General features: G+C 33.4%; 1 long non-coding RNA gene across 1 annotated transcript in view; it reads right to left on the bottom strand.

Annotated features, from left to right (window-relative positions):
- Window positions 1–24,309: 24,309 nt before the first annotated feature.
- The window catches only part of LINC01442 (long intergenic non-protein coding RNA 1442), a 29,201-nt gene continuing 27,235 nt past the window's right edge, over window positions 24,310–26,275 (bottom strand). Inside the window, exon 3 of the long non-coding RNA NR_184201.1 lies at window positions 24,310–24,866. This is a non-coding gene — a long non-coding RNA (long intergenic non-protein coding RNA 1442). The remainder of the gene's footprint in view (window positions 24,867–26,275) is intronic.

Here is a 26,275-nt window from a genome sequence, read left to right as displayed (position 1 = left end):
TAGGACTGAGAAAAAAATACTTATTGTCCTCAGGGATGAAACAGAAATAAAATATTATCAACACAATTTCTCTCTGTTAGTTTAAACATGTCAGGAAATATAATATCTTTCTGTAGTGTACAAACCTTGTTAATTACTTATATTATCTTGTTATCCAGGTTTCACAACAGATAGTAGATAAATTATAATTGGCACATCCCTAAAGACTGCAGATGAAGAATAAATACACTAGAAAAAATATATCTCCACTGATTACCTTCAAAATCCTTAATAAATGTTGTTAAGAAGTGATTTAAAAACCTTTTATCTGACAGTAATGAATCATTTGTCAATTGTTACTGTGAAGTGATGATAGTTATTGCACAGCAAAGTGTTTAGCAACCAATGCTGATGTTTTGGAGCTATTTATACTTTGGCAAACATTGGAGATAAGGACTGGGAATTGGCACCAAAACGGAACTCTCAGCTACTTCAGGAGAAAGCTATTTTATTCTGAAATTTTTCATTGAGCAGCACAACCCAACAGTAACTATTGGAAGCCAGAAACTCTGTGTTAACATTCAGATCTAAAAATCGAAGACCTGGGTCAATTCCTGCTGCTTTCTTTTCAGGAACCACAACAAAGTAAAATAAGCTACAGAAATATACTAAGATACTTACCTTTGAAGCCATTTTTCATTTCAAGCAATATTTTATTTATTTTGCAAATACTGATACGTGAACCTGTAAGATCATAAATAAAGTTTGTTTTAAAAGTATGAAGATATTCAAAGTTTGTCCTTCGATAAGGAAGTAGTTATTATTTCTTTTATGTGTAGAAATTTATGACAGGGAAAATTGATATAGATTCCTTTGCATTGTGTTCATGTAATATTTCTTTATTTTATATATGTATATTATAATTTTAATTTTATTAATTTATTTCTCACATCTCAGAACAATCTTATCTCACAGTTAACAGCTTTTTTTCCTGTGAGATGAGACTAACAGATTTTTAAATTTTAAATTTTGTGTTTTTGTTTTTGTACATCCCAAAACACAACTTAACCCCATAGATCAAAAGATTAACACATATATAATATGTATGGGTACATTCAGACCTTCCAACAAAATAGGTAATACCAATATCAAACAGAATATAAGACGTTTTATTTCTAAACTGAGTCAAAATAGCAACATTTTAAAGTGGTTTAGGTAAAATGACAAAGCCAAACTCAACCAACACCTGTGTAAGCATTTCATTTCAACTATGGATTCCAATAGACTAGTGGTAGAAAAATATTTCAACAAATATTCAACATTTCACCTGACTTTTAAACACTAAAATTTTTAAGAAATATGGCAGTTGTTTCTCATGGCCAAAAATTATAGTAGAAAAAAATAGAAAACAAAATTCTAGGTAAAATGTTAACCCTTTGAGAATTCTCCAAGTCAAACAGACTTGTATTCCATTGTCTAAATAATTCACCTTTAGTAGCCTCAGGGGTAAAAAAAAAAAAAAAATAAAGACTGTCTTTGATATATACATGTCACCCAGAGGCAGAATCTCAGAATGTACAAAAGTTATTTCGCTCAATAATAAAAAATGGAAAACTTCCCAAATGATGTTATAAAGCTAACATGGCTTTGATATCCAAACTTGGCAAATACTGTACAAGAAAAAAAAAAACAAAAAACTGAAGCAATTTCATTAGTAAATACAGATACAAGTGCCAAATAAAATATCATGCAAATCAAATCTGACATTTTATTAAATAGATAACATACCAGAACAAATATGTGGTTTGAAAAGATAGAGAGATGCCTCAAAATTAGGAAATCAATTCAGAAAACATATGTTATCAATAGGTTAAAATTTCCAAAAACACACAATTATCTTAATAAATGTTAATAAATAAATAAATCGTGAAAGTTTAATATCAGCCCTGATTTTAAATTCTTAATAAAATAGAGAAGGAAGTTTCCTTACAATGATTATGAAATATATCTGGCCAAAATCCAATAGTAGTCTTTACAAAGAAATGTTAAAGAAATTATAATAAATGGAATAAGGCAAGATTGCCAAGCAGTAACACTCTTTTTAAAATTTTTCTAGCCAAAGCAATAAATAAAAAGAGGGAGGTATAATAGAAGATATAACTGTCTGAAAAGAAGGCAAAACTTTCATTATCTGTAAATGATACTATTATCAACCTAAAAATGATTATCAACCCCCAAAATGATTGAATAATCAATTAAACTTATAAGTGTTTTCTATGTTTAGATTTTGAAAGAATATATATAAATCAGCTCTTCCATAAACCTCAAATAGCTCATTGAATTAATCACAAAGTAATAATAATGTCAAAATGACTTCACATATAAAATTATTTGCAATACTTTTAATAAGAAATATAAAATAACTTTAATAAGAAATATGAAAGAAAACTTTACTTAGTAATATAAGAAAAATAACAGATAAAGATGCATTATTCCTGAATGGAAGTATACAATATTTTAAGGATTATAATTCTCATCAAAATAACTTATAGAGAATTTTAAAAGTACTTCATTAAACAAAACTAAAACTTATTATACATATATACACACAAATATATATATACATATATATGTTTACATATACATGTACCAGAATGAACAGAATATTTTTGAAACAGAAAACTGATGTTGGCTTCTGTATTTCAAATTACTAAAAGCACATTTTAAACACCAACAAGAAAAAAAAAATGCCTGTCATCTACTACTGTCCAACATTCTATTGTCCCTCCTAGCCACGGCAAGAGGATAAGGGAAAAAAAGTGAGAAATAAACATTGGAAATAAAGAATCAAATATTTCACTGTTTGCATGTGTCATGATTGTTTTGCTATGAAATCCAAGACAATCATCTGAAAAACTATTACAACTGTTAGAATATTAGCAAGACACAAAAATGACAGAAAACCTGTAATAGTTTTCTATACACACAAAAATCAACGTATGTAATGAGAAAAAAATTCACAACAGCAATAAATACCCACAAATAATGAAAAATAGTACTTTCAAGAAAAGAGAAAATAGTAATACAGATTGAGTCCTTTCTGCCTAGAAAAAAAATGTATCATAAAAGTCCAGTAAATAAAGGAGCATTGTGTTAGCTCAGAATGAATAAATAGATAAATGAAATAAAAGAGAGATTCCAGAATAAATTATGTATATAGGAGAATACGTGAGCAGTGGCAAAGCCAAACAGGTCTGCGGAAACCTCAATTCTTGCGTCCTCAGAGGAAAAAAATCGACTGAGGAGCATAAGGCAGAAGGAGACCGAGGGAAGTTTTAGAGCAAGTTTATTAAAAAGCTTTAGAGCAGTAATGAAAGGAAGAAAAATAAAAATACACTTGGAAGAGGGCCAAGCAGGCGACTTCAGAGATCAAGTACACAGTGTGACCTTTTGACTTGGGGTTTCACACAGTGGCATACTTCTGGGGTCTTGCATCACTTCTCCCAACTCCTGAGATCTTACTGGGGAGCTGCAGATCACCAGTTTCAGTTTTTTCCTATGTGTTTATTAGGAGACTGCCTTTTCCTAGCACTGGCTGTGACCAGTTACTTTAGAGACAGTTAACAACCACCTGACCATCACTTGATGGTTGCTGGACTCTCCTGGTGTGTGGGTGGGGGGAAGGAGCTCTCTGCTGCCCTGCTTATACCTGACTAGCTACCTACTGTAACAAATATAGTATACAACAAAGGTGAAATTTCAAGTCAATATGAGAAAATGGAGTTTTTAATAAACAGTGTTGGAGCATTTGGAAATCCATATGGAAAAATTAAATCAGAGCTTTACTTCACATCATGCACTCATGTAAATTATAGCTGAATCAAAATTTCCAATGTAAAATTATACAAAATACTGGAAAACTTATAGAAAAATATCTGTATAACGTTATAGAAGGAAAGATATGAAGCCTAAGAATAACCAAAAAATTGGATGGATTCTACTACATATTTTAAACAACTGTGTAATAAAATGGACCATTAATAAAGTTAAAAGACAAGTAATATTCTAGATCAGGTTGAAAATGGTGGCCCATGGACTGCCTGCTAGTTTTTGTGAATAAAATTTTACTGGTGCACACTCATACTCAATCATTTACATATTGTCTGTGGTTGCTTTTATACTCTGGGGAAGGCTGGACTATTGTGACAGACTCCATATGGCCAGCAAACTCTCAAATAACTTGCCAACCCTTGCTCTAGGAGAAAATATTTGCAACTTACATAATAGATAAAAGATTAATCTTCAAAATGGTCACCAGAATAAGATGTCGATCATGCCCGAGTCTACCACTCACAACACCAAAAGAAAATACTGCTTCGAAAGAGTCTCAGTAATGTCTCAGAAGTTGGTAGTGAAGAGTGGATATTAACAGCGTTTTGAAGTCTCGGTTCTAGTGCATAAAGGCAAGTCTTTCAATAATGAAATCTGGTTGAAATTTAAAAAATATACTACTAATAAAAATGTTATTAAAGTATAACTGTCACGTGATAAACTACATATATTTAAATATATAATTTGATGTTTAGACATATATATAAAACCCATGAAACTGTCCTCACAATCAAATAATGAACAGGTCAATCACCCCCAGAAGATTACTGATGGCCCTCCCTGCAACACTCTCTTTCCCCAGTCAACCACAATGGATGTTTCTATATTAATTTAGATCTACTGTGTTTTCTCATAGCAATGTTTTATAGCTTTCCATGTACATGTCTTGCACATCTTTTGTCAGATTTATCTCAAAGTATTTTGTAACTTTGATGTTGTGGGAAAACATGTTATTTATTTAATTATAATTTCCAATTGTTCATTAGTAGTATATAGAAATATAATTAACTTTTCTACATTGATCTTGTACTCTAAAATCTTGCTAAAATTATGTATTAGTTCTAGCAGCTTTTTTTTAAATTTCATTAGGTTTTTTGGATACATGTGATCATGTCATCAGTAAATAAAGATCATATAATTTCTTCCTTTTCAAGGTGAACGCTTTTCTTTTTCTTGCCTATTCACTGCCTAGAAACTCCAGTGTAATGTTGAATACAAGTGATATAAATGGATATCCTTATTTTATTCCTGATCTTATGGGAAAAGTATTCAGTCTTTCATCATTAGGTATGATGTCAGCTGTAGGTCTTTTGTAGATGCCCTTTATCACATTACAAACACCCTTCTACTCTTAATTGGCTTAGAGTTTTTCATCAGGAATAGATGTTGGATTTTATCAGATTCATTTTTTCAGTGTCTATTCAGATGATCAAATGCTATATATAATACTTAAAAGAGCAATCCTGTTTTTCAGAAAGTCACTCTATTGATGATGATTTTTACAGAAGTGATAAAATGTAGATTTTTATATATCTCAGTAACCAAAGCTCTATATTAAGTTCACACAGCTTAACTATGTCCTATTTTTGTTCAAAGTCTAAAACACAGGAAGCATACACTATAAATTATTTTCACTCTTCATCTTACTTGAATCATTCCTTTCAAATAACATTTCTAAACATGTTGAAGAGAGAGGGAAAGAGAATGAGAGAGGAAAAGAGAGAGAGGTAGATAAAGTGGGAGAGGGAAGGAAAAAGGGAGATGAGTTAGATTAAAAACAATCTAATGAAATATAAGCAATGCACAGAAAAAAATAAAATGTCTAATTAACATATGAAAATGGACCCTATATGATTAAAATTTACCTTTCAGAATATTACTTTTCATTAGTATTTACCTGTGGAACCTGTATATAAATTTTGTATTATGTTCTATTAATCTACTCGGTCTCAGGCCAACATTGAAGTACTGTATTTGTTTTATCTTTAAAAAAAGTTTATGTTAATACAAAATAAAATAAATCCCTGGCCAGGCGTGATGGCTTACGCCTGTAATCCCAGCACTTTGGGAGGCTGAGGTGGGCAGATCACCTGAGGTCAGGAGTTCAAGACCAGCCTGGCCAACATGGTGAAACCCTTTCTCTACAAAAAATACAAAAATTAGCTGGCCATGGTGGCGGGCGCCTGTAATCCCAGCTACTCGGGAGGCTGCAGTGAGAGAATCACTTGAACCTGGAAGACAGAGGTTGCAGTGAGCCAAGATAGCACCACTGGACTCCAGCCTGGGCAACAAGAATGAAACTCCATCTCAGAAAAATAATAAAATAAAATAAAATAAATCCCCTTTCATTATTCCTCCTTTAGGAAAGTCTTGTATTTTTGCTCGTTTATTTTTCTAAAAAAGCTTTTAAATGTTTAACTAATTATGCATTTTGCTATATTTTAATTTTGAAAATTTCACAAAGTCTGTGACATCCAATCACATGTTTATTATTCCTGGCAGTGTGGGAATTAAGTACCTATTGCTGGTGAATTAGATATCTAATCCCATTAGTCACTGTTATTCAGTAAGTACTTCCCTGGTTTCTAGCTTAATTTTAAAATGTTGAAAATGTTCAATGATTTCTATTGGTACTGATTTTCAGCTTGAGCAGAAGAGACAAAGAAATCCATTGAGCAAGCAAAACAGCACACCTGCAACCTAAACAAAAATTCATTTTGGCAAGAGAATTCAAGAAAATATTCAACTGTGAGAAATGTATAAAACAAAACCCAAGTTAATTATACAAGTCATTCATAACTTACACATCTAATATATCTTAAATGTTAAATAAATGCAAAAGGAAAAAAATTAACATGGAGACTTACATGAAGACTCTTTGAACATTTGAACGAGTTTTGGAGATGCATGTAATCACGGACCTATTCATTTTCAATGATTTCATATTCTCTTGCCCTTGGCGGCCTCTAGAACCAACTGTGTTTCAGTTTTATATATGTTAATCAAATGATTTCTGAATCTACACATCTTTTATCTTATATTTCCTTGTATCTGTAGACCTTAGTCTGCATTTATATATGCATAGTATGCATAGTCTGAATGCAGGAAATTTAGCATTACCCTGATACCAAAACGAGACAGTTACACAACACCAACAAAAAAGAGATTATAGGCCAATCTTCATGATAAACATCAATGCAAAATTACTCAACAAAATACTAACAAATCAAAGTTAACAACAAATTAAAAAGATTGTTTACCATATTCAAGTGGAATTCATACCAGAGATGAAAAGATGTTTCAACATTATCAAATCAAGAAATGTGATATATCACCTTAACAGGATCAAGGACCAAAAAACAGGATCACGTCAATAGGCACAGAAAAAACATTTGATAAATTTCAACATGCCTTCATGATAACAACTCTCAACAAACTAGGTATAGAAGAAACATACATCAACACAGTAAAGGTCATATATGATAAACCCACAGCTAACATCATATTGAATGGCAAACAGTTGAAAGCTTTTCTCTAAGAACTGGAATGAGACAAGGATTTCCACTCTTACCACTTCTATTCAACATGGTACTAGAAGTCTTTGCCAGAGCAATTAAACAAGGGAAAGAAATAAAGTACATCCAAATAGGAAGAGGAGAAGTCAAATTATCCCTCTTTGCAGAAAATATGATCTTATAGCTAGAAAACTCTAAAGACTCTACCAAAAGAATTGTTAGAACTAATAAACAAATTCAATAAAGGTGTAGGGTACAAAATCAACATACAAAAATTAGTAGTGTTTCTTTACACCAATAGTGAACAATCTAAAAAAGAAATCAAGAAATGAACCCCATTTACAATAGCTACAAAAATGAAGAGTCCTAGGAATAAATTTAAGCAAGGAAATAAAAGATATCTACAATGAAAACTATAAAATGTTAGTGAAAGGAATTGAAGACACACACAAAAATGGAAAGATATCCAGTGTTCATGAGTTGGAGGAATTAACATTCTTAAAATGTTTCTACTACCAAAAGCAATCTACAGGTTAATTGTAACCCCTATTAAAATACCAGTGACTTTCTTCACAGAAATAGAAAAAATAATTCTAAATGCGTAAGAAACAAAAAAGATCCCAAAGAGCCAACATATTACCTGACTTCAAAATAAACTACAAAGATACAGTAACCAAAATAGCACAATACTGTCATAAAAATAGACACATAGACCAATGGAACAGAATAGAGAACCCAGAAATAAGTCCATGCACTTACATTCAACTGATTTTTGACAAAGGTGATAAGAACACAAATTAAGGAAAGGACAGCCTCTGTAATACATGGTACTGAGATAACTGGATACACACAGGCAGAAAATTCAAGCTATACCCTTATCTCTTACTATACAAAAATCAACCAAAAATGGATTAAAGACTTACAAGTAACACTTGCAAGGATAAAACTACTAGAAGAAAACATAAGGGAAATGTTTCCTGGCATTGGTATGGGCAAGGATTTTTTTTGATATGACCTCAAAAGTACAGGCAAAAAAAGCAAAAACAGATAAATGGGGCTACCTCAAACTACAAAGCTCAGCACAACAAAGGAAACCATCAATAGAGTGAAGAAACAACCTACAGAATGGAAGAAAGTATTTGTAAACTATGCATCTGATACAGGTTTATTATTCAGAACACATAAAGAACTCAAACAACTTAATAGCAAATCATCATCATCATCAACTGATTTAAAATGGGCAAAAGACCTTATAGACATTTCTCAAAAGGAGACATAGAAATGTCCAACAGGTATATGAAAAAATGCTCAACATCACTAACCATCAGGGAAATGCAAATTGAAACCACAATGAGATATCACCTCACATTTGTTAGGATGCTGATTATCAAAAAGACAGAGATAGCAAGTACTTGTGAGAGTGTGGAGGAAAAGGGAACTTTGTATTTCATTGGTGGGAGGACACGTTGGTACAGCTGTCATGGAAAACAGTAGGAGATTCCTCAAAAAATTTAAAAAATAAAACTATGATATGATCCAGTAATCCCACTACTGGGTATATATGCAAAGGATATAAAATCAGTATGTCAAAGAGATATCTGTACTCCCACATTTATTGCAGCTCTATTCACAATAACCAAGATATGAATCTACCTAAGTGTCCATCAACAGATGAACAAATACAGAAAATGTAGCCTGTATTCACAATGGAGTACTATTCAGTCTTTAAAAAAGAATGCAATCCTGTCACTTATAACAACATGGATGAGCCTGGAGGACATTATGTTAAGTGAAATGAGCCAGGCACAGAAAGATAATGATCTCACTCAAATGTGGAATCTAAAAGAATTGACTTCATAGTAGATAGCAGAACAGTAGTTACCAGAGGCAGGGGAGGAAAGGAAGGAAAGGTAATAGGCAGAGATTAGTCAATGAGTACAAAGTTACAGTTAGGAAGAAAAAATGCTGATTTTCTATTGCACAGCTGGGTCACTATGATTAACAATACTATATTATATATTTTAAAATAGCTAGAAAATAGATTGTATTAGTTCGTTCTCACACTGCTAATAAAGACATACCCAAGACTGGGTAATTTATTAAGGAAAGAGCTTTAATTGACTCACAGTTTAGCAGGGCTGGGGAGGCCTCAAGAAACTTACAGTCATGGTGGAAGGGGAAGCAAACACATCCTTCTTCACATGGTGGCAGGAGAGAGAATGAGAACTGAACAAAGTGGGGAGCCCCTTATAAAACCATCAGATTTCATGAGAACTTACCGTCATGAGAACAACATGGGGAAAACCACCCCCATGATTCGATTACCTCCCACCAGGTCCCTCCCATGATACATGGGGATTATGGGAACAACAATTCAAGATGAGATTTGGGCAGGGACATAGCCAAACCATATCAGAAGTTTTGAATGTTATCACTACAAAGAGACATTAAATGCATGAGGTGATGGATATGCTAAATATCCTGATTTGATCTTTACACAATGTATACATATACGGAAATATCACACTGTACCACATAAACATGTACAATTATTATGTGTCAACTCTAAAAACTCTCATTACTATATGCTTTTCATAGAATATTTATGATGAGCATTTTAAGCCTTGATGTCTTGATGTTTTCCATGAAGACTTGACTTTGACATGTTGATAGTCTCTTCTAGATCTGAAATTGTGAATTTTACTACGGGTGATTTTAGAAATCATGAACCTCTTGCTAACTGATGTTTCAAATTTTTAATTTGCTTTATATAGGAAAAAGTCTCTAGTTGATTGCAATAGCTTCAGATACATCAAGGAACCCTTGTGAAAAAGGTTAAAAATTATACAAATCATTTAAAACTCAGAGACTTAACGTATCTTAAATATTAAATAAATGCAAAATGGATAAATTAACACAGTAACTTGTATAGAGACTCTTGAAACGCTTGAAAGAGATTTTAAGATGGCCTAACATAATGGAGGACCAATTCATTCCCTATCCCTCAATGATTTCACCATACATATTCTTGCCCTTGGAGCCTCTAGGACCAACTACGTTTCATTTCATATATTAATTAAATGATTTCTGAAACTATATATCTCCCATATCATATGTCCTGGTATCTACAAACCATAGTCTATGAAACTTAAACCATTGTTTTATCATCGAAACCTTTGTTTTCACTTGCCCAATATGCTTACTGTTACAGGATTACTCCATTTACACAGGATGAAACATGTGTCATACATATTTTTTAGCCACTTTCACTCTTCATTACCTTTTCAAGTCTTTGTTTTCTATCATTTTGGAAGCTATAAAAGTGAATCATAAGCTGACCTGCTTTTTAATCATAAAATAGCTATGATTTGGATAGCATCAAACTGTTTCAAATTCCAACCTCACCCTAAAAAGTACACATTATCTTCTATTTAATTAAGATACTAAAACACATAGAATTTGTCACCCCTTCTCATGGGCCCCCTTCCCAAATTCTTTAGCTATTAAGTGGCTTAGCTGGGATTTGGACCAAGGTCTGTCCAACTCCACAGTCCCTGACGTATCCAAAAGAACTGCCATCTATACATAAATACAACAATGACAAAAGTCATTTTCTCTAAGTGCTCTGATATGATCATTCCCTGTCATAGTAATTCATTTTACTTTCAATCATCATTTACCTATGTTTTACTCTCCCCAAGTTGCACTACTCTTACTTAAGTGTGTTTATATAGTTTTGTAGTCTTTACTAGTATCAAGTAAACCTATGTCATTAATTGATTTAACAATGAGTATTAATCTATGTGCTGAGTTCATCCATTACTATTCTTGGTTTCTTTTATTCATAACTTGATTTAAGTTTTTATTTACCCTTTTATGAAACTTTTCTTAATATATTCTAACAAGCTTCAAGTTCATCTATTCTAAACACTCAAAAACCATTTGGATTCAGGAACATAATCTCTGTACAGTTGCAATTGTTTTATACATGTTTGTTCACTTGTATTAATTCTTGCTCCCTTGTTCTCCAGTATTGCTATGTGCATGGAATTTTCCAGAGAACTTGGTGGAGTGGCCCATCAATGAATGCATATGCTTGGCTCTTGCTATATGCTCTGAACATGGTAAAAATCAGGTGTACTCGTCAGGGTTCTCTAGAAGGACAGAACTAATAGGATATATGTATATGTGAAGAGGAGTTTATTAAGGAGAATTGCCTCACATAATCACAAGGTAAAGTCCCATGATGGGCTGTCTGCAAGTTGAGGAGCAAGGAAGCCAGTAGTGAATTGGTCCAAGTCCCAAAACCTCAAAAGTAGAGAAGTCGAGAGTGCAGCTTTCAGTCTGTGGCCAAAGGCCTGAGAGTCCCTGGCAAACCACTGGTGTAAGTCCAAGAGTCCGAAGACGAAGAACTTACAGTCTGATGTTCAACAGCAGGAAGCATCCATCACAGGACAAAGTTGAAGGCTGGAAGACTCAGCAAGTCTGCTGATGCCACCTTCTTCTGTCTGCTTTTTCTAGCCCTAGCCCTAGCCCTAGCAGCAGAGTGGATGGTGCCCACCCAGATTAAGGGTGGGTCTGCCTCTCTTAGTCTACTGACTCAAATGTTAATCTCCTTTTGCAACATCCTCACAGACACACCCAGGAACAATGCTTTGCATCCTTCAATCCAATCAGGTTGACACTTAATATTAACCATAACATCAGGGAAGCCATAAATGCTGAGGATGGTTAAGCAAAGAAAAAAAAATGGTTTATCTTCAAACTTTAATTACCTGTCCAAAATGAGAAGGTAATATATCAGAATACAAAAAGATAGGGTCTCAAACAATTACAGTCTACCTTCTAGTAAGTCACAGATTGCACTGCACCCTTGAGGTGGGGTTGAAGGATTACAATACTAAAATTTAATTTCCTATAGTAATATCCTATAGTACACATGAGACAAAGAAAATTGGCACAGAATTAAAATATGACAAAGTTGGCTAACTCTTGGGAGGCTTTCAAAAAATGTTTATTTATCGAAAAAATGCCTAAAACATTGTTACTTTTTTAGTTTTAATGCTGTTATTCTATTTATACAGAAGTGAGATGGAGTTAAGGTGAAGGGAATTTTGTTCTCTGTAAACCATCCATCCACTTTATCACAAAGTTGTACTATGTAAATAAGTCAGAAATCCAAACTTAACAATTTGGTCATAAAAACCACCAAAAAATTTTTTAATGTCATTGTTTTAGTTCATTTGGGCTGCTATAACCAAATACCTTAGACCGGGTAGCTTCTAAGCAACAGAAATTTATTTCTCACTATTCTGGAAGTTGGGAAGTCCAAAATTCAGGCACTGGCAGGTTCAGTACCTTGTGAGGTTCTAATTCTAGCTGTGTCTTGACAAGGTGAAAAGAAAAAGGCAGCTCTCTGGGGCCTCTTTTACAGAGCATGGATCCCATTAATGAGGGTTCCACTCTCATGATCTAATTGCCTCCCAATATTCCACCGCTAACACCATCACGTCGGCGATTAGGTTTCAACATACGAATTTTGGAAGGACACATTCAGACCATGGCAGACATATAATAAAATAGCATATTCTATATATCTTCTTTATTAACATTGTATTTATTTACAAGGCAAATATAATATTCTGGTTTTATTAAATACTAGTGAATTCACCAAAATATCAATAAATTATATAATTGAAAGTAATAACTGATTTCCTCAATTTTATTGATAAGCATTGAAAATAAATATATTAATGCATTTTAAATATTAAAACTTCAGTAACTGTGTGGTGTTTTGCCCAACCTGCAACAAATCTTTTTGTTATGTTACTTTTAAGCAAAGATTACAATTTCCAAAGACAAAAAACTTGTTACATATTGTTAAACCTGTTTCCTCCCAAAATTACCAAAAAATAAAAATAAAACAATTTTAATGTGCAAAACTGAAAAGTAGCTACTTGTGCAGTTATTACAAAACTTTATTTCAAACGAAAGTTTTAACCCTTTCTATTGCTAAAACTGATAATTTATTATGTGCTTCCTAATTTATTTTCCTTAGTGCACTCTTTAAAACTCAGCATAATATCTTTAACACAGTAATCATTTTTCTTTACAATGACAAAGCTAAAATCTGCTCAAATGTAGGGCTAATTCTTTTATTTTTCTCTTTGGTGAATAATTAGTAAGCACCAGGCCCTGAGCTAGGCAAAATGGTTACAAAATTCACAGTCACCAAAGGATTCCATTTATTAAATAAAGTTTCTTGATTACGAACTGTCCTCTGATTGCAAACACTGACTTTTCTGAAATTTTATTACATTTAGTCAAAATAGTTTCAGATCAGAATCTATAACGTTCAAACAAGAATCATTCAAAATTCTCTTTAATGGGCATATCAGCTTGGATGGTTATAGATTCATCTATTCTTATTCTGTTGGCAAGTTGTATTAATAATTCTCTTAAAAATTGGTAATGATGACTGAGACCCTAAAATATGACCCATCCAATAGCCCTAATAATGCATTTCTTTAGACAGGACCTGCCTGTACCATGAGTGTATGGTCGAAAACAGGGATGCACCAGTAATCACAGTGGGAAAACTGCTAAAGGAATGATTAAAGGACCTTGTTAATCACAACTTGAGTAATTTATCATAGCAGTAGACAGTTTAGGAAGTATAGTCCAGGACAACAACCTTGCACACAGCAATTAGAAGTAGAATAGCATGAAGGAACTCAGAACATTTCAGTGAAGAAAAATGTGTAAAAGAAAACGTCTTAAGTGTTGACTTAAGTCATAATGACTGTGAATATACATATGAGATACTGAGGTCTAAACAAGGATGAACCTGCATTGACTTTGCCTTAGATAATCAAGTGTTCTTAACCACTGTTTTTAGACTTAGGAAAAATTAGAAATTCTAGTATTATAAAAAAGTTCTCCTCTTTAACTATGACACTTTTTTTGCTTGCTTATTGACTGATTAAAACGTCGTGCATTCACATGCCTCAAAATTCCAAAAGTGCAGAGAATAGAGTAATAAATTTTCCTTAACTCCTATCTTGCCACCTAGTTCTCCTCTTCAGAGGCAACTAATAACAATATCATATATAATGCTCAATGCATATATGAGCAAATATATTCCTTCCTTTTACACAAATGATATTCTATTTACCTGGGAGCTTATTTTCCAAGGAAAAAAATACCATGGAACTTATCCCCTAACAGCAATAAATTTACTTTCTCTTTTCAGTAGATAGTATTCTATTGAATGGATGTATCATAATTTATTTGACCAGCTCTATGTTGATAGACATTTAGTTTGTTTTCAGTCTTTTGCTATTTCAAACAATGCTGCAATGACTTGTATTATACATGTCATTTTGTACATAGGTAAGTAATCTCTAAGATAAATTCCCAGAAGTAGAGTTACTAATTTTAAGAGTATGTGTGTTTGTAACTTTGATAAATGTTGCTAAATTACCCTACATAGATTTTTTTAAATGCCTCTTTCACACACACTCACTAATGCTCAGTGTTACCAAGCTTTGTGATCTTTTCCAATTTAATGGGTCAATCAAGATATTTCAGTATAACTTTCATTTGTATTTCTCATTATGAATGAGATTTATACCTTTCCATGTATATTTTAGAGCCATTTATATTTCCTTTCATGTAAACTGGTCATAATCTTTGCTCATTTATCTTTTGGATTACTGGTCTATCTAGAGTTTTTTATATAAGATTCTTTATATTAAAAAATCTTATGTATCTGTTCTTTACAGATACATAAAAGTTGGCACTTTGTGATATGAATTGCAAATATTTTCCTAGTATTTTCAGAGTTAATGAACATTAAAAATTATTTACTGCTTTTATATTTGAATGAAAATTTGGATGATATAAGATACTTGGGTCATACTTTCTTTTCTTGAAAATTTTAGAGACATTTCTCCACTGTCCTCTAGAATTAAATACTACTGTTGAGAAGTCTGATGTCAGCCTGTTTTGTTTTTACTCTCTAGAGATGAATTATTGCTTTTGCCTGATTGTCCAAAGGATTCTTTCTTTATCTTCAAAGTTCAGCAGTTGTATTAGGATATGTCTCCGTGTTGATCATAACATGTTAATTTTTCCTAAGACCTGACATGCCATTTCAAAGTTAATATTTTCTTCAATCATATTTCAAGTATTTATTCTCATCTATTATATAGGAATTTCCAATAAGTGTAGGTTAGATCTCCTTTGTCTGTCTCCCTAGATATCATTTTATCTCTAATCATTTTAAGTTATATTTATTTTCATTCATTTTGATTGCTTTCCTCATAGTTAATCTCTATATTCCTTTTTGCATTCTCATCCTGATGAATCTTTTTAAATTGCCATAAGCACTCTCTTATCTATCTGTACACTCTGAATTATTTTTCAAATATAGGACAAATCCAGGAAAATTTCAGCAAAAAGAGAGATAATGATGTAACGGTTTTTAATTCATGGAATAAAATAAGAATCTGCAAGTCCATAGAGATTTAAATAGGCAGAAAGATACTTATTTACAGCAAAATGCTAACTAATAAACATAGAAGGATTGCAGAAATAAGAAAATCACCTATGGCTTTCAAAGTTAATAGGTAAAAGTTTGGTGAGGAAGTGTATATTTACATGATCTCAAAATAATCTTGGCTTAAAATCTCCTGGGAAAGAGTTCTGGCTAAATGAAATGAGGTACTCATTTTTTTCTAAGGAAATTAGACCTAAGTGCCTTGACACCAAAGTAGAATGAGGTTTTCTTTGTTATTTCACATTTTTTCCTTCCTATCTCTTTCCCTACCATCACCATTTCCCTGCTTAAACCAACAGTCTTGATGGGATGAGAAAGTCAACTTGCTCCTTTTGCATTGTAGTAGAATAAAAAACTAATTCTTAAATACATTAATAAAGAAGACATAGAGCTTTGAGAGTTTCCAAAGCAATGAATATGGAATAATCGGGGTTCTTTGTCTATAGCTGGAAACTTTTGAAGGGGCATGTAATACAAAAAAGTTACGAGTATCAATTTCCAGAGTATCAAGTGTCTTTTGTATTTTTTTCTCAAACACTTGATAAACCAAAGAACTTATGATGTTGGTTCTCCTGTCCCAGTTGTCCTTCTCCCACTTGACAAAAAAAAAAAAAAAAAAAAGACACATATTTCCTACATCCAAAAACCTGTTGTGGTGAATTGCCCCAAGCTCTGAAAACCACCAAAGCAGCAAAGGGTAATTTCAATAGAGGATGCTGAAAAGGCAAAAGGCATTAGTAACTGGGAAACAAATCCATTTCCAAGACAGGTAATTACCAATTATTTGCTTAAGACAAAACTGAAAAACAAAAATGGCCTAAAGCTATTAATCGGTAGAGATCAAACATAATTTTTGATGACAGTTCAGTCTGTGATTTTTAACAAATAAGGTAGGAGTTCAAAGTAACTTATTTATTTGTATCTATTTCTATGTGTTTTTCAGCACTTAATAAAAAAGAAAAACAGCATGGAACTAGTGCTGAATTATCTCATTCTCACATCAATACATCAATTAATTTTTAAAATCATATAAATATAAATTTTGATTATTTATCAACAATTTTAGGTTTCTGTTCTTATGGTCATTTTGAACTGATAATAATTATAATGATAACTCAATGAAGATGTTAACCACTTAGGACATTATTGATCACAAGAAATAACATTTTAATTTATATACATAGTTTTGTTGAATAAAATATATTACTCTGATCTATCAAGCAAAAACATATGTTACATTAATGTAAAATTCTGTTGAGTAAGAGGAATAAATATAAGATCACAGGGAAAAATGAAGTAAAAATTGTTAACTGTTGAAGAATATTCATGTGTGATTTTTTCAACAGCTGATGATGAGTATCAAATTGCTCTGGCATTTATTTCCATTGAAAACTTTTTAAAAGGTAATTTGATGGTTTTGTTTTAAAATATAAACATATGCAATGTGATAAAAGTTACATCTTAAATGAAAGTTTAATATTGTATGTGCGAATATACAGTTTTTCAACATCTTACAAGAGTTGCACAAAGAAAGTTTGAGAATAATCAACTCAAAAACTATTTAGTTGAAATTTGGAGAAACAGATTTTCCATTTAAGAATATGTGATAACTGTTGCCTAGAGCTCATCTAAAGAAACTCTTGTGGAATTAACTATGAGAGTTTGCAAGTATTTGTGCTCACTTCTCATGTCAATATTAAGATTGCATAGCATTTTGAAGTCTGGCATGACTTTTCAAGAGTTGAATAAAGACAGCATTACAGCATTACAAAAAGTAGGACGGAAAAACCTTAATATCTACAAAATTTAGGAAAATTGTTAAAGACTTACAAAGATGAGCAAGCAACTTGCCAGTAATCAATATAGACCAATTTGATATCTGTTGTACTATCTCCACAGTAGGAACAATGTCTTTACACCTTTATTCATCATTGACTGTGATCACTGATTCTATAACCTTTCAATGAATTTATTAGAATTCCTGCTTTTAAAAAAAAGGAGGAGGGTGGAGGAGTGTCTAAATAATTTCACAGTACTTTACTTTTCTGATCATCTTTACAAAAACAAGAGATAGGCTATCTAGCCTTCCAGTCCATTTAAGTGGAGAAGAGGTAAAAGCAAATCTCTTAATACTCTACTAGAACATTTTACAAAATATGTGAATAAAATGTACACATCATGAAGTCACTTACATAACTGAAGAGATATTTGCTCCAATTTTAAACTTTATATTCATGTAATTTCATTTTCTCAATTGCATGTATGATCAAACTAGCAAGTTAATATTGCGTTGCAAATTAAATTGAAGAGTGGAATGGACTCTTTGCACCTGGTCTAAAATATTTATCTTATGATGGTCCAGTAGGCTATTTAAGAGTATTTTCCCTTGGCTTAACTTGTATCTTTTATTTCACACTAGTAGGTTGAGAGTATACATTTTTTTTCCTTTAGTTTAAATAGTGTTCCAGAGAAATAATCCATATGGAAATAATGTTTTGAGCTCAAAGTTACTAATGTACTTAGTAAAAAGTACACTATGAAAATTCAAGTTCCTTAAATTATTGTTAGCTATTAAGTTAGCTACTAAAACAAAAACTGCTGAATGCTGTGAAACCACCTTCACAGGTGCCATAGGGTTTAAGGACCAAAATTAACCCTTTTTTTTTTTTGAGACAGAGCTTTGCTCTTGTTGCCCAGGCTAGAGTGCAACGGGGTGATCTCGGCTCACTGCAACCTACGCCTCCTGGGCTCAAGTGATTCTCCTGCCTCAGGCTCCTGAGTAGCTGGAATTACAGGCGCCCACCACCATGCCTGGCTAATTTTTATATTTTTAGTAGAGACGGGGTTCACCACATTGGTCAGGCTGGTCTCGAACTCCTGACCTCAGGTAATCCACCTGCCTGGGCCTCCCAAAGTGCTGGGATTACAGGCTTAAGCCACCACACCCGGCCCAAAATTAACCTTTCTGAGAGAGAGAGAGAGAGAGGGAGGAAGAGAGAGAGAGATGTAGTTTACATTGACAACAAGGTAAGTATTAACAGAAAAAAAGTTATTATGCATTTCAGGGAGATCAGAAGTTCAGCCTCTGATATTAATGTATTAATGAGGTTATTCTATCTTTGCCTTTATCAAAATTGTTTTGCTGGAAAACTAAATAGGGAAAACGTATAAACCCTTGGAAAATGAAGTATTTAGTTCTTAAAATTCAATTCTTTTTTAATAATATGTCAGTAACCTCAGCCAGTAAGTTGAGGAATTTTTGTGTTTACTTTTCCATACGATCCCTTTTTAGTCCTTCTCTTGGAGAAATTTAATACTGTCAGAGGTGATGTGCTTCGAAGGCTAAAAGGATCTCTTCAGGGAGCAGAAAGTACTTTAAAAGGCAAGCTCTTAACTGGACTGTCTTTCCTAAACTAGGGATTATTTTTCTCCTTTTAAAAACAAAAAAGTTAATAAATTATTGACCAATATTATTAAAATATAAAAATATATATAATAGAAATATTTTTAAAGAGAGAGAAACACTCTCTTAGAAATATACTTTATTGCAATAAAAGGTTAAAAGCTGTTAACAATTCATCAGGCAATGTAGAAATAGAGCTATAATGCCCTTAATTTGAACCATGTTTTGATTTCTTGCCCAAATTCAAGTGGATCTTTTCAAGCTTCGCAAGGACTCTTCCTTCCTCAGGTAGGAGCCTATTGGCTAATCTACTATATTCTTAGTAATTTTTTTTTGACTGCTCTTTCTATCAGTACTAACTTTAATTTCTTTCTACTAGTTAAGATTGAGAAGAGTTCTTTCCACTATAGACCCAAATAAATATTTTGACATAAGTTACGTGAAAATGAATGGAAACCTACAAAATTCTAATTTTAGTCAACAGATTTAAGCAGTTATCATTTTGCCTTTATCTATTTCTTGAGAACTATAGTTAGAAGAGTTACACACCAATAATTTCTTCCTGGGTTATAGATCAGCAATGAAAGCTTCCATGAATATTGATTTGCTCTGACCTAAAGGTAATGACATTTATTTTGCTTATCAGCAGAACTTTGAACTCTATTTCATGATTCTTCACCTGAAAATAGCTACCCACTTGTTCTACTTTGGAGATTCTCATCTTAACTCTATCTGAAATAGTTCTTTTCTGTATTGAATCTCAGACTCACCACTAAAATCACATTTGGAGACATTTTGGTCATTCAGTGTCCTAGCTCATTTTCTATTGCTATAAGTGAATACCACAGACTGGGTAATTTATTAATATAAGGAATAGAGGTTTATTTAGCTCACTGTTGCAGAGGCTGAGAAGTCCAAGAGCACCGCACCAGCATCTGGTGAGAGCCTTAGCTGATCCTAATTATCTCCTAAAGGCCTCATCTCCAATCAACATATGAATTTTAGGATTAGATTTCTAACACATGAAATTTGGAGGACACATTCAAACCATAGCACTCAGTATTCCAGAAAAGGCAAAAAGGTTTCAGCCATATTCTTATATAAACTGGTATTCAGATTGAGGTCACCTTTATGGGAGATTATTCCTTGTAAGTGAGCAAACAATATGCAATGAATTTAAGAGGTATAAAAAAACCAGCTCTGGAAATGATTAACTTTACTGCTTTCAATCAGGTGTGTGGATCAGTATGACAGAAAATTGAATTGGTAGCCAATTCTTAAGAATTGGATGAAACAGGCAGACAAAACCTGGAGAATCTGAGAACAGCAAGTTGGTATAGGAAAACCTCCCCAAAAATGAGAACCAATGAGTAATTCAGAACAGTTTCCAGAAAAAAAAAAAAAGGAGATAATTAGAGTACCTGGTTATATTTAAGAGTGAAAACCCAATGCAGAAAGCTAAACTTTTGAGTATGCCAATATAAGTTGTATTAGCAAAATATTTGGCTGCAAATCACATATATTCCAACTAACAGAGGCTTAAACAAATAAGAGTTTCTTTTCCTCATATAAAAAGTCTAGAGATAGGCAGTTGCTGGAAATACTTTATCTGTTCATGGAAACTACTCTGCTCACTGCAGCCTCCACCTCCTGAGTTCAAGCAATTCTCCTGCCTCAGTTTCTCAAGTAGCTGGAATTATACGTGCATGTGGCCACACCCAGCTTATAGCATATATATATGTATATATATATATATATAATTTTTTTTTCTAGTGGAGATCCCCATCTCTACTAAACATCTTCACCATGTTGGCCAGGCTGGTCTTGAACTCCTGATGATTCACTTGCCTCCCAATGAAACTACTCCTAACCTAGTGTGTTATCATTCTGTTCTGCCATCTTATATTGGCCCCCATTCACATGGGTGTTACCCAATGGTTGCAAGATGGCACTACATCTTCAGACAACATGTCTGTGTTCAAAGTCAGATTAGTGGTATGGGTGGTTGTATCAGCTCATATGTCCCTTTGGAATGTAAAAACTTTCCCAAGAAATCCAGGAGAAATCAATTTACATGTCAATGGACAGAACTGTCATATAGCCACTCCCTAGCTATAAGATAATCTAGAAATTCAGTACATTCTGATTTGCTATGTGTGTTTTTTTTTTTTTTTTATTTTGTTTTTAAAAAGTGGCTATATGGGTGTCTGTTACATAAATTAGCTAATACATGATTGATAAATAAGGCAAAAATGCCATTATAAAACAATTAATATGTTATTTCCTATGTAACTCTCATATGCAAAAGGACCCAAAATATGAGAAGTAAATTCATGTTATATTAATTTTAAAATGTACATTTTTTCACATTTTAACGTTTTTGAAACCAATGGAGTTTATAATTGTTGTGGGCCAGATGGAAGTCATTATAAATTGCCATTTCCTGTGCATGCATATGCAAACTTGGTCATAGTAGTATACATCGTCATGCATTCAAATGAATTATGCACTGTTGGTACTGCATGCCAAGCAATGCACCTGAAGGCAAGAGAAAGTGAAAAATTCCTCAAAGTCAATGAAAGAAATTTCACGACGAGAGGCTGACTGATACATCTATTAATCACGTAAAACTATCATTAAGACAGAAAACATCAGTTTGTCAGAAATTTAATGCTGATTTTGAACAGAAGCTGTTTAATATTCAGTGATGCATGATTTCATAAGGTTAAATGAAGCTATAAATTAATCAAATACAAAAAGAGCAGCTTCAAAATTCATAAGTTAGTAACTTGGAAGAAAACTTCAAAATGCTTTTAAGAAATGCTATAATGCTCTTAATGGCATAGGTTATAATATCATGTGCAAAAATATGGATGACTTTGCTGAGTTGAAACATAATATAAAAGAGTTAGACTCCAAATGTAAAGAAGTTTTAAAAATATTTAACCAATTCTCTTTATATGTAATCATTAGTTTTAGGTATACACAAGAGTGATTTTTTTTTAATTCCATGAGCAAATTAGTCTAAAAAAACTCTTCCAATGAGTATACAACATAATTATAGCTTTGAAAGTAAAACATTGTGTCATTGTTTAATTAGCATGTATCACTCTTTCTTATTAGCTGATAAACTGAGTGTTTTGTCCTACAATCAAGGCATCTTAATGAATTTGATATAATCAGCAAGAAAGCGGGGGGGGAAGTCTTCAGATTAGCTACTCTACTGGAATCAAGGACCCTCTCTGAATATTTTTTAAAAAGATAAAAGTGAGGTCTTCATGAGTTGATCCCTCTCCAGAGACACTCACCAAGCCTTGAATGACTCATGTTTGACTCCACTACCCTCCCTCCTTGGTTTTGAAAATGGCAGCCCCACTAACCCAGAACTCTGTTTTCATCTCCATTGACTCAGTACCTACTACTTTTGTTTTAGTTGATGTTTTGCCATTATTTCCTGTTTCGTTTTTTGTTTTGGGGGGTGTTTTGGGGGTAAATTTTAATATACCCAGTGGTAGCCTCTGTTTGCATCTCATATTCAAATACACAATTGATCACTAATTATCATGGAAATGCAAATCAAAACCACAATAAGATATCATCTCACCCCAGTTACAATAGCTCTAATCAGAAGAACAAAAATAACAAATGCTGGTGAGGATGTGGAGAATGGGGAACATTCAGGCACAGCTGATAGGAATGTAAAGTAGTATAGCCATTATGGAAAACAGCATGGAGTTTCCTCAGAAAACTAAAAATAGAACTACCAGATGATCCAGCAATGGACTGTTTAGTATATAGCCAATACTAGCTTTTCTTTGTAGTTTCTTGACCTTTATGGATTTGGATATATTTGACTTCCTTTTTTGGTATACTTTCTTTTTTTTTTTTTTGGATTGTGTAAGGCTGGTCTCTCCTGGCTTTCTGCTAACATCACTGACTACAGCTTTTCTGTCTCCTTTGCTGAGTCTCAATTCACTTCTAATTGACTTCTAAATGTCAGTGCCCTATTCACAATCACAAAGATATGGAATCAAGCTAAGTGTTCAAGTGTCCATCAATGGATGATTGAGTAAACAAAATGTGGTATGTTTATATACCATGAAATACTACTTGGCCATAAAAAAGAATGAACTTGTGTCTTTTATAGCAACTTGGATGGAACTAGGAGCCATTATCCTAAGTGAAATAACTCAGAAAGTTAAATATGCATATTTTCACTAATAAGTGGGAGCTAAACAGGGTAAACACACAGACATCAAGTATGGAATAACAGACATCAGAGACTTAGGAGGATGGGTGGATGGGAGGGGGATGAGTAATGAGAAATTACCTAAAGAGTGGAATGTACATACACATTTGAGTGACGAATACACTGAGAGCCCAGGCTTCACCACCATGCAATAGATGCATGTAACACAACTGCACTTGTCCTCAAATTTGTACAAATGAGGAAAAAAGAAATCTATATATTTATATATAAATAAAGACCAGTCAGGCAACCTGATTGGAAACCTTTGGTTTCAAGAAAATAAATAAATCAATGAGTGAATGAATGAATGTTGGTTCCCAATACTCTTTCCTAGACCCATTATTTCTGTCTTCTTTTTTAGTCTCATGGTTTGGAACACCATCTTGATCCTAATGAGTCTCACATTTTTCTCTCCTATAATTCCATACTTATTTGATTCTAAATTAGATATGTAATAGGCATGTCTCAGAAGCAAAATCTTGATTTCTTACCGTCTGCATCCACCAAGCTTATTTCCCCCTCAACTTTTCCATTTCAGTAATTAATGCCAAAAGTCTCCCAAGTGTTCAAGCAAAATGTCCAGAAATTATCTTTGTTCATCTCTTAACTCTATCCTTCCCAAAGTGTATGTATTCTCACATATGCACGGACATACACACACACACAAACACACACATGCCATGTAATAAATTGACAAATGTCATCAATTCAGCCTCAAACGCATATCCACAGCCTATATATATACTCCACGTTTCCCATAAACATCATTGTTCAGGCTGTTATTACCTATAGGGTGAACCATTAAAAGACCTCCCAACTGGTTCTGTGTTTCCTTGCTTGCTTTCCTATAATCCACCCACCAAAGAAGCAGAGTTATTTTTAAAATAAAATAATTCAAATTAATATCATTATTCTATTTAAAACACTCTAAGGCATTCCCATTGCACCTGAATAAAATCCCAATTTCTTAATCTGGTTGGTAAGCCCTATACAACCCTGCTGCCTGCCTACCAGTCTGTCTCATCTTGTTCATGCTTCTCTCTCACCCACTGTGCTCCACCTTCTTGCTGTTTCTTGGACACAGCCAGTTTATTCCTGTTTTAGTGCCTTGCACTAGCTGCTCCCTCTGCCTGGAATGACTTGATTCAAGGTCTTTGTGTGGCTGGTTCCATCTCTTCTTTCAGATCTTGATTTATGTCACCTATTCCGAGAAGGGTGATAACCTAATTCAGCCATGAGGTCACTTTATCACATTGATTCATCATAATTCTGTGAAAAAACATTTAACATCTTTTTTATTATATGCTTGTTTGCCTCTTCTAGAATTTAAGCATTTGAGAACAAAGATATCGCCCATCTTTGTTCACTGCTTTATCCCCAGAATCTAGAAAAGTGCCTCTCACAAGATATGAACTTAATAAATGAATTTTTAAACATGTATCCCCAAAACAAAATATAGAAAACATTAAGAGTATTCCCTAAAGTAGCTCAGAGAAACAAAACACAGTGACATTGCAGGTGGCCTTCCTTAATAAAATACCTTGCTTACTTCCTTTTCCATCTGGCAGTAGTTGTTTTAGGGACAGGACTCAACAGGCCCAGTGAGAAGGCACAGCAGCTTTTGCTTAGTCCATTCTGTTAATTCCAGAATGATTTGAAGGCTTAGAGAAGAAATCACAAAACCAAAACATATGACCTCTGACACAATCATCTTGTAGTAACCATATTTCTGAAAAAAAACTGCCACAGGCAATTTAAGAGAAGACCCCGAACTAAGAGGTGGGCTCAGTCCTCATCAGGAAATATCAAGAAGTACCCCTTGCCTTCTCCTTCAATTCTTTTAAATCAGATAAGTAAGAACATTTAAGCTGTGTTTGTGGAATCAGTTGAAAATGGCTTAGACAGGGAAATTATTTTTTTTTCCCCTTTCTAAAATCCTTTTGGTTTTGCTCTGATTTCACTTCTTCTCTCATTCTCTGATGACACTATTCAATGACTGATTTTATTTCTCTAAAAGGTTAAAGCTAGTGCTTGGACAGGGCAATTTGGGGGCATGAGGAGCATCTAGACCAGATACCAGGTGACTTCCGCCCTGAGTTGGCTAGGCAGTGAAAGTGCCATGACACCGGGTTTGACCCTAATGCACAGAGCAGCAGGTGGGGCTTAGAGGGCCTCTCTAAACTGCCTTTGCCCAAAATGCCCAGGGTGAAATGGCCACTTGCAGTGTGGGGCGGTGGGAAGAGGAGAGGCCTGACCACTGTGACCATTAAAGGTTTGCATTTCCCTTCCTTTGAAATGGAAGTTTCAAGAAAACCTAGAAGTGAATACAGGTTAAGGGTCAACTGAAAATATTGATTGTACAAAGTTTTATTCTACATTTTAGATCTAATCAAGTAAATTAGGACTAAGCAAAAGCTGCTGTGCCTTCTCACTGGGCCTGCTGAGACCTGTCCCCAAAGCAACTACTGCCAGATGGAAAAGGAAGCAAGCAGGGTATTTTATTAAGGAAGGCCACCTCCAATGTCACTGTGTTTTGGTAAGGAAGAATGCCTTAAGATTTTTCAACAGAAGGAATAATAGAGCTGTTATGACAATTACAATTATGCTCCGATGATTTTGAGTCCAGAAAATCTTTGATTAAACTGAATCTTCTCCATTGGAAGCAGGAATCTAACGAA

The sequence above is a fragment of the Homo sapiens genome, chromosome 13 (genome assembly GCF_000001405.40).
Source record: "Homo sapiens chromosome 13, GRCh38.p14 Primary Assembly".
NCBI lineage: Eukaryota > Metazoa > Chordata > Mammalia > Primates > Hominidae > Homo > Homo sapiens.
This window is presented reverse-complemented; position numbering and strand designations above follow the sequence as displayed.